This window comes from Homo sapiens, chromosome 3, assembly GCF_000001405.40.
Source record: "Homo sapiens chromosome 3, GRCh38.p14 Primary Assembly".
Lineage (NCBI taxonomy): Eukaryota > Metazoa > Chordata > Mammalia > Primates > Hominidae > Homo > Homo sapiens.
The window spans coordinates 40426375-40442663 of NC_000003.12; the positions used below are offsets into that span (position 1 = coordinate 40426375).

General features: G+C 40.6%; 1 protein-coding gene and 1 long non-coding RNA gene across 3 annotated transcripts in view; one reads left to right on the forward strand and one right to left on the reverse strand.

Annotated features, from left to right (window-relative positions):
• The window catches only part of ENTPD3 (ectonucleoside triphosphate diphosphohydrolase 3), a 41561-nt gene extending 39191 nt beyond the window's left edge, over positions 1–2370 (forward strand). For both annotated transcript variants that reach the window (NM_001291960.2, NM_001248.4), the window contains exon 11: positions 898–2370. In NM_001291960.2, the coding sequence (NP_001278889.1) occupies positions 898–1134 (237 nt within the window). In that variant the 3' untranslated portion in view covers positions 1135–2370. The remainder of the gene's footprint in view (positions 1–897) is intronic.
• Positions 1–16289, reverse strand: part of ENTPD3-AS1 (ENTPD3, EIF1B and MYRIP antisense RNA 1) — a 62358-nt gene that overhangs the window by 35424 nt on the left and 10645 nt on the right. The window lies entirely within an intron of this gene.

Consider the following 16289-nt stretch of genomic DNA (forward strand, 5'->3'; position numbering starts at 1 on the left):
GATTATAGGCGTGAGCCACCATGACTGGCCACAGATATCATTTTTAAGGCAGGAAAGAAGAAAAAATATATATAGAAAAATAGCACTAATTGAAAATTTAAAAGTAAGATATTAGAAAGAAGTGTAAATATATTAATAATCACAATAATTATAAATGGACTAAACCTACCAGTTAAAAGAGAGATGTCAAATTGAATTTTTAGAAATCAAGCAGGTGCCATTTATAAGAGAAACATGGTTCAAGCATAAAGACATGGAAAGATAGAAAGATAATTTTGTTAAATTATCAAACACTACCCAAAAGAAAGCTGGTATAACTATTTAGTATCTGGCAAAGCAGTCTTTAAGACCAAGAGCCTCATTCTAGACACAGAGGGTTACAACATAATGATAAAATGTTCAATTCACTATGAAGATTGCAAAGGTGAAACATTTATACACCTAATAAAACACCCTAAAAACATGTAAAGCAAAAATAGATAGAACTACCAGAATAAATTGACAGTCAGCTTCCCATTTGGGCTGATTTTCTATTCTTAGGAACTGGTCCTGGGATCAGTAAACCACTCATTAGCCTCTTTCTCTAGCCACAAACACTCCTGTGCTCCTGGACAACAGGAACACTTTCACTGTTATTAACTGTGCCGTCTTCACTCTTGGCTGTGACAAGATTGTGAGAATTTGTTCTTTTGACTATTTCTTCTGCAGCGCTGGAGGTGAGATTTCCCCAAGCCTTTGTGGCTACAGTGTGGTGTCTTAACTTGGGCAAGTCCTTTGACCTCTTTGGGCCACAATTTCCCATGGGAGCTTTGTGAGGTTGATAGCAGTATGACTCCGGTATGTGATTGCAGCCTTGAGCCTTGCCCTGAGCGCTGAGCCATCTCCTCTACTCCACAGGTGGGGAATAGCAGCATAGCCTGGTCTCTTGGCTACATGCTCAGCCTGACCAACCAGATCCCAGCTGAAAGCCCTCTGATCCGTCTGCCCATAGAACCACCTGTCTTTGTGGGCACCCTCGCTTTCTTCACAGCGGCAGCCTTGCTGTGTCTGGCATTTCTTGCATACCTGTGTTCAGCAACCAGAAGAAAGAGGCACTCCGAGCATGCCTTTGACCATGCAGTGGATTCTGACTGAGCCTTCAAAGCAGCTCCTGGAGTCCAATGGCTGCTTAGAGTCAGCCTGGGTGGCACCAGGCAATGCAGGTGAAGTGGCTGCCTTCAGGAAATACAACTAACTAAAATCAAACACCTAGGTCACGTGCCTCTCAAATACTGATTTCTGCCACAGCACCTCTTGAGGCATCCCTTGGCTATTCTGTGCATATTGTTCTTCAGAGACCTCACTACCCACATGCTGATCTATTGGGGAACAGAGAAGAGACAGGCCACGAAGGTCAGGCTCTTTATATTAAGTTCCCCAGAGGAAGAGTAAGTTGAGAAGGTATCAGTTTAATGTTGAAGAATTGACCTCAGGGCTCAGTTTCCATTTCCCTCCCTCAGTATTCTTCCTGGCAAGATACCCATTAAGCATTTCGCCAATCAGAATCTCATTTTATAGTTTTTCCCATTGGTCTTTAACTAAGACTTTCTTGTAGCAATCTCGTAAGCAGTGAACCCCCTCAGATCAGTAGAATATAGTATCTGGGGGAGAAGACTTACTTCCTTCAGGGCAGCAGCCACAGCCAGGCTTCTGTCATACAGGTAGATCCCGAAGCACAGAGACATAAAAAAGGTCTCCCAGAAAACTATAGACCATTCTCCAAGTGGAATTCCCACTTAGGGCTCTGGTCACTAGATTGCAACCTGTGTGTTTGTCATCATCCTCATCTCACCATTGTATTGCTATGCCCTCCCATAAAAACACATTGATCCCTAGCAAGATTATTGCATTCCAGATTTTACTGCCTTTGCTAGGCTTTTGCTTAGCAAAGGGCTGACTTTCCATTGTTATCATGGTGTATATATTTTTGTCACCATTCCCACAAGTATACTTGATGTTGTCATAGAACGAACATCCTACTCTATGATTTACTAACCAATTACTTTCCCAGATCATAGACCTCTCTGCATAGTAGTCATAGGTCTTGACTTTGGGGAAAGAAAAGGAAGCTGCAGGAATATTTATCTCCAAAGTCGAATGAGAAAGAACTCCAGCAAATCCAATGGCTACAAACTAAAAATCAGCATTATTTCATATTGCTGTTTCTTAGCTGAATATGGAATAAAGAACTATTATTTTATTTTGACTTGCAAGGGGTGTGTGTGTGTTAACTTCCATATGGTACTCTTTCTCCTAAGGACCCTAGGTGATATTTATGAGAGAAATTTTTTTCCCTAGCAAATTAAGAAACCCATTCATTAATATCACCTTTATTCCAGAGAGTTCAAAGTGCTTTTACTTTGATAAACCTTTGACTGCTTGAGATTATTGAGTCAAGCATTTCTGTACCTTATTTGAAATTCTAAGCCTCTGTGAGTCCACAACCTGACACTCAAATCTTGGTTCTCATCCAGAACGGCTACTCCTATCCCAAACTGTACCTTTGCTCCCGCCATCCTCTCTACTATATTATAGATCCTCCTCCCACCCATCCAAATCATGTATGTTTCTCAAGGTCCAGTTCCTTCATATAAGTCTTCCACAAAGCTTTCCTTGCACACACATACTATGCTCTATCTCCTGGACCACTTTTTCAAAACCAGCCACGTAAGTCCTCATATTGTTATTTATCTTGGCATATGTGTACAGCTTATTTCTAAAAGACAGAGTAGGCTACTTAAGGGCAAAGCCTATTGTACATCACTCCTCATTTATTCAACAGACATCTAAAAACACCTATTATGGCTGATACCTTTTACGTGTGATTTTGGATTTGGACATATGCTATGAACATAGTATTTATTCATATTTGTTGATTGAGGTTGTTTCCATGAGTGACTAAGAAATGGGCAATAAACTATAGAGATAGCAGGGAAAAAACAGCATCCAAATCACCAAGAGTTTGCAAGAAAAAAAATTTGTATGTGCAAGAAAGAGAGCCAAAGCTCCATGAAGGCAAATCCTAGTCAACATTTCTAACTCATTTGGGAAGTTAGAATAAACTGAGGTACTTCAGGTTTTCTGACACACACCGAAGAATTTTTGACTGGGTGCAGTAGCTCACACCTGTAATCTCAGCCTTTTGGGAGTAGCTGAGGCAGGAGGGATTCCTTGAGCCCAGAAGTTCGAGAGCAGCCTGGGAAACGTGGCAAAACCTCTTCTCTCCAAAAAATACAAAAATTAGCCAGAAGTTGTGGGCACACCTGGAGTCCCAGCTACTTGGGAGGTTGAGGTAAGAGGATTGCTTGAGCCTGGGAGGTGGAGGTTGCAGTGAGCCGAGATCATGCCGCTGCACTCCAGCCTGGGTAACAGAGCAAAACTATCTCTCTCTCTCTCTCTCTCTCTCTCTCTCTCACACACACACACACACACACACACACACAAGAATTTTTATAGATAGACCATTGTGAAATCTGCAGTTCAAGTGGCATATCTAGCACTGTTACTGTGGTGAACAGAATACTCCTTCCCCCTCTGGTGTTACTCCAATTATGTGGTTACATTGTCACATGGCAAAAGGATTTTGCAGATGTAATTACAAATCAGTTGACCTTAAAATGGAGAGCTTATCCAGGTAGGTCTAACCTCACCACATGAGCTCTTTAAAGGCAGAGCATTTTCTCCAGAAGACGAAGTCAGAGATTCAAAGCATGAGAAGAATTCCACATGCAGTTGCCGGCTTGGGGATGGAGGGCGCCGTGTGCAAAGGCCCTAAGTGCAGCCTCTAGAAACTAACAGCAATCCCTGGCGGCATCAGCAAAAAACCAGGAACCTCAGCCCTACAGCTGCAAGGAGCTGGATTCTGCCAACAACCTGAATGAACTTGGAAGCATATTTTCCCCCAGAGCTTTCAGATAAGAGTCCAGGTCAGATCATATCTTGATTTCAGCCTACTGAGACCCTAAGTGGAGAACCCAGTTGAGCCCACTCTGACTTCTGACCTACAAAACTATAAAGTAACAAAAAGATGACGTTTAAAGCCACTAAATTTGTGGCAATTTGTTACACAGTCACAGTAAACTAATACAACTATAGAACCCCAAACCCCAAAGCTCCAACCAAAGCAAGTCTTTTGATTTGAAATATGTGAAGATAAAAGTGATGAGTAGCACAAATAGTGTCTATTCCTAATCACAGCTATGTAAAAAAAGCATGGGTTCAGAGGTAAAAGTACCTGACAGCATTACTCAGTCACTGAGTGATTTGGGGAATAGGGATCGGGGCTTGAGCTTTGGGCCTGGTTGAGTCTAAAACCCATTGCATAACTTTGCCTTTCACACAGAAAGGCAGTATCATATAGTAGTTAGGAATTTGGCTTTATATTTCCGTAGTCTAACATACCCATTCACATACAGACACCTGATTTATAACAGAGGTGTCACATCAGAGCAGTGGGAAAATGCAGGACAATTGGATATCTTAATGGAGAAAAAATGAATTTGACCCTTTCCTCACTCCACTTGCAAGAAATGTTTCCAGGTAGCTTAAAGACCTAAGTGTGAAAAACCTATAAAGGTTTAGAAGAAAATGTAGGAGAATATTTTTAGGATACTGGGTAAGGGAAGGGTTTCTTAAACACTACACAAAAAGCATTAACCATAAGAAAGTATTTAATACATTAAAATGTAAAACTTCTGTTCCTCAAAAAACATCATTAAAAGAGTGAAAAGACAAGCCACAGAGTGGAAGAAGGTATTTACAACATATATAACTGATAAAGGACTACTTTCCAAATTATATGAACAACACTTACAAATCAGTAAGAAAAAGGAAGATGATTCAATTTTTCTAAACAGGCAATAGTCTTGAGAAGACACTTTTCAAAAGGAGACAACTAAGTGTCTAATAAACATAGGAAAAGATGCTCAATCTCATTATTGGGATAATGCAAATTAAAACTACAGAGAAATAGTACAATATGCTCATTCGTTTGGCAAAACTTAGAAGTCTGACAATACCAAAATTAGTGAGGATGTGGAACTGGAACTCTCCTATACTGCTGTAGGAATGTAAATTAATGCAACCACTCTGGAAAATGGAGGTATTGTCTAATAAAGTTGAAGAAATTCCAGTCCAAAGTATATACCTTAGCGATATATAGTCTTAGATATACCAGGATACATGCCTAAGAATGTTTTAAGCAGCAACCAAGATGCCTATCCTACGGAATAAATGAATAAATAAATAGCGATACAGCCATACTAGAAAATACTGTACATCAATGAAAACAAAAGAACTACATAATCAAAAGGTTTTTTGTTTGTTTTTGTTTTGTTTTATTTTTGTTTTGAGATGGAGTCTCGCTCTGTCACCCATGCTGGAGTGCAGTGGCTCAATCCTGGCTCGCTGCAACCTCCACGTCCTGGGTTCAAGCGATTCTCCTGCCTCAGCCTCCTGGGATTACAGGCATCTGCCACCACGCCCAGCTAATTTTTGTATTTTTAGTAGAGACAGGGTTTCACCATGTTGGCCAGGCTGGTCTCAAACTCCTGACCTCGTGATCCCCCTGCCTCGGCCTCCCAAAGTGCTGGGATTACAGGCGTGAGCCATTGCACCTGGCCTAATACAAAATTTAAAAACAGGCAAAACTAAACACAGAAGGTTAAACGCTAAAGAAAAGCAAGGAAATTATTACTTTGAAATTTGGGAGGAGATGGAGGCTGTATCTGGAAAAGGATAAATGGGTGTCTTAGGCTGCTTGAACTGCCATAATAAAATACTATAAATTGAGTGGCTTAAACAACAGAAATTAATCTTCTCACAGTTTTGGAGCCTGGGAATTCCAACATCAAGGCATCAGCTGACTAATTCCTGGTGAGGGCTCAATTCCTGGCTTGCAGATGGTGGCCTTTATGCTGTGTCCACACGGCCTTTCCTCTGAGCTCTCAGGGAGAGAGAGTGAGAGAGAGAGAGAGGGCACTCTGGGATCTCTTCTGACAAGGGCATTAATCCCACCATGAGGGCCACTCCTTCATAACCTTGTCTAACCCTAGTTATCTACCCTCCCAAAGGCTCCATCTCCAAATCCTACACTGGGGGTTAGGGCTTCAACATATAAATTTGGGGGATCACAAATATTCAGTTCATAACAACAGGGCTTCTGGGGTGACAGTGTTATTCTACAACTAGGTAGTGGTTACAGATGTTCCCTTTTTCAACCATTTATACATCATCTGTATGTCCTATACTACAATATAAAGTGACAGATCTGGGTTAACTCAAGAATTTTCTCCTTATTACCTCTATGGTTTTCATCATATCTTTCAGTCTCCTTGAGTCTTGACTTCCTCCATATATAAAACAGGCATAATACCTACCTCATGGGATAGTTAAGAGAAAATACAGCACTTAGCCAGTGCCTGACATGGATGTAGCTAATAAATACAAGTTTTAAAACATATTTATTTCACCCATTTACTTATTCACTCATGATACTTTCACCAAAAGTCTACTGTGCGACAAGCCCTGAGCTAAATGACTAAGGGTGTAATAGAAATGAGACAACTGTCTTTTCTCTCGAAACATGAGACTTGAATGCCCTCTGTTGGAGCTATGGAAAAAATTCTTCCCAGGGTGAGCCTCCCACCCTTTTTTTAAACCTCTCTAAAGGTATTAGAAAAAAAAATCATTAGTTCAAAAATAGTTTTAATAGTATAAAATAAGGAGATAATTGGAAATCTGAACACTGAACATTATCAAGGAATTCCTGTTAATTTTTGTTTAGGTAAAATAATGGAACCGGCCTGGCGCCATGACTCATGCCTGTAATCCCAGTACTTTGAAAGGCTGAGGCAGATGGATTACTTGAGGTCAGGAGTTCGAGACCAGCCTGGCCAACTTGGTGAAACCCCGTCTCTACCAAAAAATACAAAAATTAGCCAGGTGTGGTGGTGCACACCTGTAATCCCAGCTTCTCGGGAGGCTGAGCCAAGACAATCACTTGAACCTAGGTGGTGGAAGTTGTAGTGAGCCGAGATCACGCCACTGCACTCCAGCCTGAGCAGAAGAGCAAGACTCTGTCTCAAAATAAGTAAATAACTAAATGAAATAATGGTATCTTGGATTTTTTTTTCAAGAACCCTTGCTGTTTAGATCAATGGTCCTCAACCTTTTTGGCACCAGAAACCGGTTTCAAGGGAGACAATGTTTCCACGGACAGTGTGGGGCTGGGTGGGGATGCACAGATGGTTTCAGGATGAAACTGTTCCACCTCAGATCATCAGGCATTAGATTCTCATAAGGAGCAAACCTAGATCCCTCACACACGCAGTTCACAATAGGGTTCGCATTGTTGCTGATCTGACAGGAGGCGGAGCTCAGATGGTAATGCTGGTTTGCCCGCTGCTCAACACCTGCTGCGCAGCCCGGTTCCTAAACAGGCCACGGACCAGTACTGGTCTACTGCCTGGCTGAGGGTTGGGGACCTCTGGTTTAGATACTTGCTGAACTGTTTCCAGATGAAATGATACGTCTGGCGTATCAGTCAAAGTTCAACCAGAGAAATAGAGCCAGTATTAAGAGATCTATTGCAAGGAATTGGCTTGTGAGACTATGGGGCTAGCTAGGCAAGTCCTAAATCCACAGGGCAGGCCATCAGGAAGAGCAGGCTGGAACCCTCAGGCATGAACTAAAGCTACAGTCCACAGATAGAATTTCTTCCTTCTCAGAGAAGTCCCAGTTCTGCTCTTATGGATTTTCAACTGATTTAATCAGGCTCACCCAGATTATCTAGGATAAGTCCCCTTAAAAATCTACTAATTATGGGCAGTAATCACACCCACAAAATACTTTCACAGCTACACCTAGATTAACAAATAACTGGGTGCTATAGTCTAGCCAAGTTGACACATAAAATTGACCACCACATCTGTGAATTGATTCAAAATTACAGGGGAGGGAGAATGTAGGGGTAGAACTGGCCCATACTTTGATGGTCCTTGAGGTTGGGGTGATGAGACATAGGAGTTTATTATAGTATTCTATCTGCTTTGTGTATGTTTACAATTTTCTAAATAAAAGTTAAAATACATATTTTGAGGCCAGGCATGGAGGCTCACGCCTATAATCCCAGCACTTTGGGAGGCTGAGGCGGGCAGATCACCTGAGGTCAGGAGTTCGAGACCAGCCTGACCAACCTGGAGAAACCCTGTCTCTACTAAAAATACAAAATTAGCTGGGCATCGTGGTGCATGCCTGTAATCCCAGCTACTTGGGAGGTTGAGGCAGGAGAACTGCTTGAACCCGGAAGGCGGAGGTTGTGGTGAGCTGAGATCATGCCATTGCACTCCAGCCTGGGCAACAAGAATGAAACTGTCTCAAAAAAAAAAAAAAAAAAAAAAAAAAAAAAATATATATATATATATATATATATATAAACACGCAGAATCTCACTGCTGTATATTTGATATTTTTCTTTCTGAATCTTTTTCTCTACATATTTGTACATAGTTAAGATCATGCTGGAATTACAATTTTATATTTCCTTCGTTCACAGCATTATACCATTAGCATTTTCAGATCTCATTAAAAATTATTCCCAAATATCAAACAAAATGATTAAGAACTCAGGCTTTCACATCACAAAAACCTGGTTCACACATCCTAGTTCTGCTGTTCATTGTTGTGTGATCTTTGTCTAAAAATCTTAAGTTTTCTATGCCTCAGTTTCCTTTAATACAGCCATTCAATTCAACTGCTTGTTCATTTGTTCATTCAACTAATATTGATTGAATTCATCCTCTGAGTAAGATCCTGTGTAGGTGGCATAACTCCACCAATTAACAATGTAGACAAAGTCCTTGCCTTCAGGGAGCCAACGTTCTAGTGGGGGAGACAGACACTAACCAACTAAATACACACTGTACAGGGGATTATAAGTGATCTGGAGAAATATAAAGAAAAGTAAGGGGAAAGGAAAGTGCCAGGAGCATGAGATGGGGACGCCATTAGGTCAGAAAAGTCTTTTCAGATAAGGTGACGTCTGAACGAACACTTGGAAAATGTGAAGGAGTCGGCCATTTGAATATCTGGAGGAAGAGCATTCTAAGCAAAAGAGACCACAAATACAAAGGCCATTGTGATTGGAGCAGAATAAATGACTGGAAGATGGAGGAGATAGGGTAAGGGAGTTAAGACGGAGTAGATGGTGCAAGGGGGCCCCATTTAGAGTTCTGAACAAAGGAGGGGTATCTGGCTTCTGTTTCTAGTTACAGTGATAAAAAACAAAGGAGACAAGAGCAGAAACAGGAAAACCAGTTGGTGGGTGATTTTAATAATCCAGATGAGAAATGCTGATGGCTTGGATCAGGTTGGTAGCAGTAGAGGCTGTGAGCAATGGTCAGACCCCGGATATATGTGAAAGTAGAGCCCACAGTGTTTGCTGATGAATGTACATGGAGTGAGAGAGAAAAAGAGGGGTTAAAAGTTATTCCAATATTTTTGCCTGAGTGACTGAAAGGATAGAGTTGCTATTAAATGACATGTGAATATAGCAGGGAGAGAGGGTTTAGTAAGAGGAAGGTTAAGATCCAGACTATTTTCTTAAAAAAACAAAAACTGTTTATACCAGCACATATCCATAAGCATGGAGAGAAAAGAAGAAAAGAAAACAACAAAAACATTTTGGCATGGTGGACCAGGGGTAACTGACTTAGCAGACCCAAGAAAGCACAATCCTAAAACAATGAGAAAATAAAAAATCAACCAATGTAAACAGCAGTGTTCTCAAAAAGCTCAGGAATCTGTGGCATCAAGTACAGCTGCAAGTTGGGTTGGCAAGCACAAAATAAAGATAATTAAAGCTGTTTAAGAATAGTGATTCTGGCCAGGTGCAGTGGCTCATGCCTGTAATCCCAGCACTTTGGGAGGCTGAGGCGGGTGGATCATGAGGTCAGGAGTTCAAGACCAGCCTGGCCAACATGGTGAAACTCTGTCTCTACTAAAAATACAAAAATTAGCCAGGTGTGGTAGAGCACCTGTCATCCCAGATACTAAGGAGACTGAGGCAGCTGAGGCAGGAGAATCGCTTGAACGCGGGAGGCAGAGGTTGCAGTGAACCGAGATTGCACCACTGCACTCCAGCCTGGGCGACAGAGCAAGACTCCTTCTCGAAAAGAAAAAAAAAAAAAGAATAGTGGTTCCTAGATACCTTCTACTCTTTGCTGATGAGTGACTGCCTCTTCCTAACCCAAGCACAGGAACTGGAAGGCACAAGGCACAGTTACAGGTGGAGGTGTCATACCAAAACAACAAGATTAAGGAAACCAAGGCATATTCAGTGTTTAGACTCCAAGCCTCTAACCCCATCAACTCCCAGGTTCTAGGTTAACTCTACCCTCTAGTCAGGACTTTGGAAGATTCTTTTGTGAGGAATCCAAGAAGTCCAGGAGAAAGGACACAAATGTGCTGGCATTTGCAGTTTGCTAGTCAGATTATCCTACAGTGAAGCTTGAATCAATAACTCAAAACTTCCAATCAGCTTTTTATCCCCTCACCTTAAACAGAAAACAAACGAGGTGCCAGGAGTGGTGGCTCGCTCATGCCTGTAATCCCAGCATTTTGGGAGGCCAAGGCGGGTGGATCACCTGAGCTCAGCAGTTCGAGACCAGCCTGACCAACATGGTGAAATTTCATCTCTACTAAAAATACAATAATTAGCTGGGCAGGATGGCAGGTGCCTATAATCCCAACTTCTCGGAAGGCTGAGGCAGGAGAATCGCTTGAATCCAGGAGGCGGAGGTTGCAGTGAGCCGAGATTGTGCCACTGCACTCGAGCCTGGGCAACAGAGGGAGACTCCATCTCAAAAAAAAAAGAAAAGAAAAGAAAAAGAAAAAGAAAGAAAAGAAAAGAAAAGAAAAGAAAGAAAGAAAACAAGGCAAGTATTTAAGGACAGCCCCCACTGTTGTTCTAGTCAGGCATCAGGAAGATATGCACTTAGATATCAGTTTGTGTTTTATCAGCCATTTTTACCCAGAAGTCTGTCTCTCTTGTTATTGTTACCTCCCTCTATCTTCTGTCATCTGCTTTCTTCTTTTCTAAATAAAAGTAGAGTTCCAAGAAGCCCATGTTTTTATTTTATTTTATTTTATTTATTTATTTATTCATTTATTTTAGAGATGGGGTCTATGTTGCTGAGGCTGGACTTGAACCCCTGGGCTCATGCAATCCTTCCTTCTCAGCCTCCCAAGTAGCTGGGACTACATGTACACACCACTATGTCTGGCAGGTTCCTGCTTGTGTCCCTTTGCTCTTATCTGCTTAAAAGTCACCTCTGAATCATCACTAGAACTTGACTTCTCACAGATGAAAAGGCGGTGTGATGAATACAAGTAAAGATTGGGATGATGCACTTGAAAGATGGAGGAAGGGGCAAGTCAAGGAACATAGGTGGCCATGAGAAGCTGAAAAAGCAAGGAAACAAATTATCCCCTCAGAGTCTCCAAAAGGAACCTCTAAAAGCCAAAACGTTGACTTTAGCCCAGTAAAACTGAATTCAGACTTCTGACCTTTAGAACTGTAAGAGAATAAAACTTGTTTTAAGCCATTAAAACAAAACAAAACAAAATTTGACCTCTCACAACAGAGAGGAAGTCTTACTGCCTTTCTGTAGATTTCAGAACCATGGTCAGGGATCCAAATACACTCTATGAGGGTGACATGGGCTCCATCACACACTCCAGAAAGGAGTGTAAATTAATCTAACGTTCCGAAAAAGTAGCTATAATATGCTGCAAGATTTTAAAAGTGCACATTCCTCAATCCAACAACCGTATTTCTAAAAATTAATTCTAAGGAAACCTTTTTTAAAAATACGGACATTGTTATTACAGATACATATTGAAATATTTATGGATACACTGATATAATGTCTGGGATCTGCTTCACATTAATCCTGTTTGGTGAGCATATTCACATTTTCTCATAGGGGAGCCACTAGGCACATATGGCTATTGAGCTAGTCCAGTTGAGATATGCAATGAATGTAAAGTACACACTAGATTTTGAAGACTTAGTACCAAAAAAATTAAAATATGTCATTAATAACTTGGAAACTGGTTATATATTAAAACAATATTTTGGATACATTGAGTAAAATAAAATGTATTATTAAAATTAATTTCACAGGCCAGGCACAATGGCTCACACTTATAATCTCAGCACTTTGGGAGGCTGAGGTGAGATGGGAGGATCACTTAAGGCCAGGAGTTCCAGACCAGCTTGGGCAACACAGGGAGACTCTGTCTGTACAAAAACTTTAAAAATTAGCAGGCCTGTTGGCACATGCCTATAGTCCTAGCTACTCATGAGGCTGAGGCTGGAAGATCGGTTGAGTCCAGGAATTTGATGCTTCAACAAACTATGATTGCACCACTACACTCCAGCCTGGGCAATAGAGTAAGACCCTGTCTTAAATAAATAAATAAATAAATTTCACTTCTTTCTTTCATATTTTTCAAATGTAGCTACTAGAACATTTTAGGTTACATTAAGTTAGGTTTTAAATTACAAACATGGTTTTCCTTTGTAGTTTACATTATATTTTTATTAGACAGCACTGGTATAGAATCCATATACTATAGATAAAACAAGATGGCCCATTAAACATGAACATCTTTGGATACTTGACCAAAAATGGCTATTGTTGAAACTAAATAATGGGTATGCAGGAGTTTATTATACCATTTTCTTTACTTTTGTACATGATTGAAAATTCCATAATGAGTCTGGGCACGGTAACTCACACCTGTAATACCAGTACTTTGGAAGGCCAAGACAGGAGAATTGCTTGAGCTCAGGAGTTTGAGACCAGCCTAGGCAACATAAAGAAACCCTACCTCTACAAAAAAAAAAAAAAAAAAAAAAAAAAAATTAATTAGTTGGGTGTGGGTCACGTGCCTGTAGTCCCAGCTTAACCAGAAGGCTGAGGAAGGAGAACAGATTGAGCCTGGGAAGTCAAGGCTGCAGTAAGCTATGATCGTGCCACTGTGCTCCAGCCTGGGTAACAGATCAAAATCCTGTCTCAAAAAAATATATATTACATAATGAAAGTTTAAAAATATGTGACTAAAGCTGCTTTCAGAAAAATACCAATCCCTATTTATATAATAGTAAAAAGTGAAAAAGTAAGCCCGATCTTCAATAGCAGTAGAGGAATGGCGAGGTGAATTATGTTCATCTATATGCTATGCTAAAAGAGTATGATGCAGCCATTAAATAATAAAATAAAAAATAACATCTAACATTTGAATGCTTACTATATTCCAGACCTGTGCTAAGCAAATTATATGCATTACATCACTTAATTTTTATAACAGCTCTCTGAGTTGGATAAAATTTTTATTCTCCAACCTCTTCCCTTGACTCCAAATTTATATATTCATTAGCCTGCCAAAACCCATTAGCTAGATTATATGGATAAAGAGCCTAACAAACTAAAAGAAAAAATGAATTGGCAGAAACAGAAACTATGCAAGGAAAAAAATATTTTAAACAAAAAAAAGAAACTCATTAATATTATAAGAAAAATAAGGGACACTGCATCAATGAAATAGAAACAATTTTTTTCTTTTTCTTTTTTTTTTTTTTTAAGACAGGATCTTGCTATGTTGCTCATGCTGGCCTTGAAAACCTGGGCCCAAGCCTCCCACTTCAGCCTCCCAAGTAGCTGGAACTACAGGCACACCCCACCACATCTAGCTCAGAAACAATTTTTTTTAAAGGAAAGATGAGATATTCAGAACAAAGAAACAGTTCTTGGAAATTTAAAACATGATAGCAGACATTAAGAACTCGCTAGAAGGGTTGAAAGATAGCATTGAGGCAAACCCTCAGAAAGGAAAGAAAAAACACAAAGAAATGGGAAAAAGAGTAAGAAGACAAAATTCTAAGACTAGCCCACCAAAACCCCCATCTGAATAACACAAGTTTCAAAAAGAAGAATCACCCATGAAATACATGGAAAATTTTACCCTGACCAGAAGGATATGGACATGATTGAAAGGGCCCAGCCCAATAAATAAAAATTACTTTACACCAATGTACAATGCTATAAAAGTTCAGAACATTAAAAAGAAAAAGAATACCCCTTATAAACTTTCAGAGAGGGAGAAAAAAAAAACAGGCCACATACAAATGATCAAGATGAGAATGGATTTAGTTTTCTCAACAATAACTCTGGAAGCAAGAAGCCAATGGAGTAATGCCTTCAAAATTCTGAGGGAAAATCATGTTTGAGCTAGAGTTCTGTATCCAGCCAAAAATGATCAATTAGGTATGAGAATAGAAGAGAGACATTTTCTGACAGCTTCCTTTTACAGGGAGCTAACTGGAAGGTGTGTTCCACCAAAAGAAGAGACTAAACCAAGGAAACAAAAGGCATCGACTCCAGAAAAAAAGGAGATCCAATATGGGAGAAAATGGGAAGGAAATCTCCAGGATGGTGATGAAGGTGTAGAGGGGACCAGCCAGAATGAAGTGACTCAGTAGCCTCTAAAGGAAATAGCCAATAGACACATGAAAAAATGCTCATCATCACTGGCCATCAGACAAATGCAAATCAAAACCACAATGAGATACTATTTCACACCAGTTACAATGGCGATCATTAAAAAGTCAGGAAACAACAGGTGCTGGAGAGGATGTGGAGAAATAGGAACACTTTTACACTGTTGGTGGGACTGCAAACTAGTTCAACCATTGTGGAAGACAGTGTGGCAATTCCTCAAGGATCTAGAACTAGAAATACCATTTAACCCAGCCATCCCATTACTGGGTATATACCCAAAGGATTATAAATCATGCTGCTATAAAAACACATGCACACGTATGTTTATTGTGGCACTATTCACAATAGCCAAAGACTTGGAACCAACCCAAATGTCCATCAATGATGGACTGGATTAAGAAAATGTGGCACATATACACTATGGAATACTATGCAGCCATAAAAAGGATGAGTTCATGTCCTTTGTAGGGATATGGATGAAGCTGGAAACCATCATTCTCAGCAAACTATCGCAAGGACAGAAAACCAGACACCGCGTGTTCTCACTCATAGGTGGGAATTGAACAATGAGAACACTTGGACACAGGAAGGGGAACATCACACACCGGGGCCTGTTGTGGGGTGGGGGGAGTGGGGAGGGATAGCATTAGGAGATATACCTAATGTAAATGACGAGTTAATGGGTGTAGCACACCAACATGGCACATGTATACATATGTAATAAACCTACACGTTGTGCACATGTACCCTAGAACTTAAAGTATAATTAAAAAAAAAAGATGATGATGAAGTTGATAGAACTTTACATCTGGGCCATGCGTGGTGGCTCATATCTGTAATCCCAGCACTTGGGGAGGCAACCTAGTGAGACCCCCGCTCTACCAAAAAAAAAAAAAAAAATGGCCAGGTGTGGTGATGTGTGCCTGTAGTCCCAGCTCCTTGGAAGGCTGAGGCAGGAGGGTTACTTGGAGCCCAGGAGGTCGAGGCTGTAGTGATCCATGATTGCACCACTGCACTCCAGCCTGGAGGACAGAGTGAGAACCCATCTCAAAAAAAAAAAAATTGTGTTACACTCATGCAATGGAATACTACTGAGCAATAAAAAGGATTGAACTCCTAATACCTAGAATAACATGGATGACTCTCACAGACATAATGTTGAGCTGAAAAAATCAGACCCAAAAGAATACATACTGTATGATACAATTTATATGAAGGCCAAGAATAAACAAGAGGAATCTATGGTGATATAGAGGCACAATAGTGGTAGACTCCAGGAAATGAAGTTAAGAAGAAAGAGGGAACTTAATTCGGCCACAGAAATGTTCTGTATTTTGGTCTGGATGGTGGTTACGAAGTGGTTCATGCCTGTAATCTTAGCACTTTGGGAGGCTTAGGCAGGCAGATTGCTTGAGCCCAGGAATTTGAAACCAGCCTAGGCAACATGGCAAGACCTCGTCTCTACAAAAAAATACCCCCAAAAAAATTAGCCAGGCATGGTGGCTGTACCTGTAGTCCCAGCTACTTGTGAGGCTGAGGTGGGAGGATACCTTGAGCCTGGGAGGTGGAGGTTGCAGTGAGCTGAGATCATGCCACTGCACTCCAGCCTGGTGACAGAGTGAGCCTCTGTCTCAAAAAAAAATAAAAAATAAAAAATAGAAGGGTAACCTGTTGACAAGAACTTCC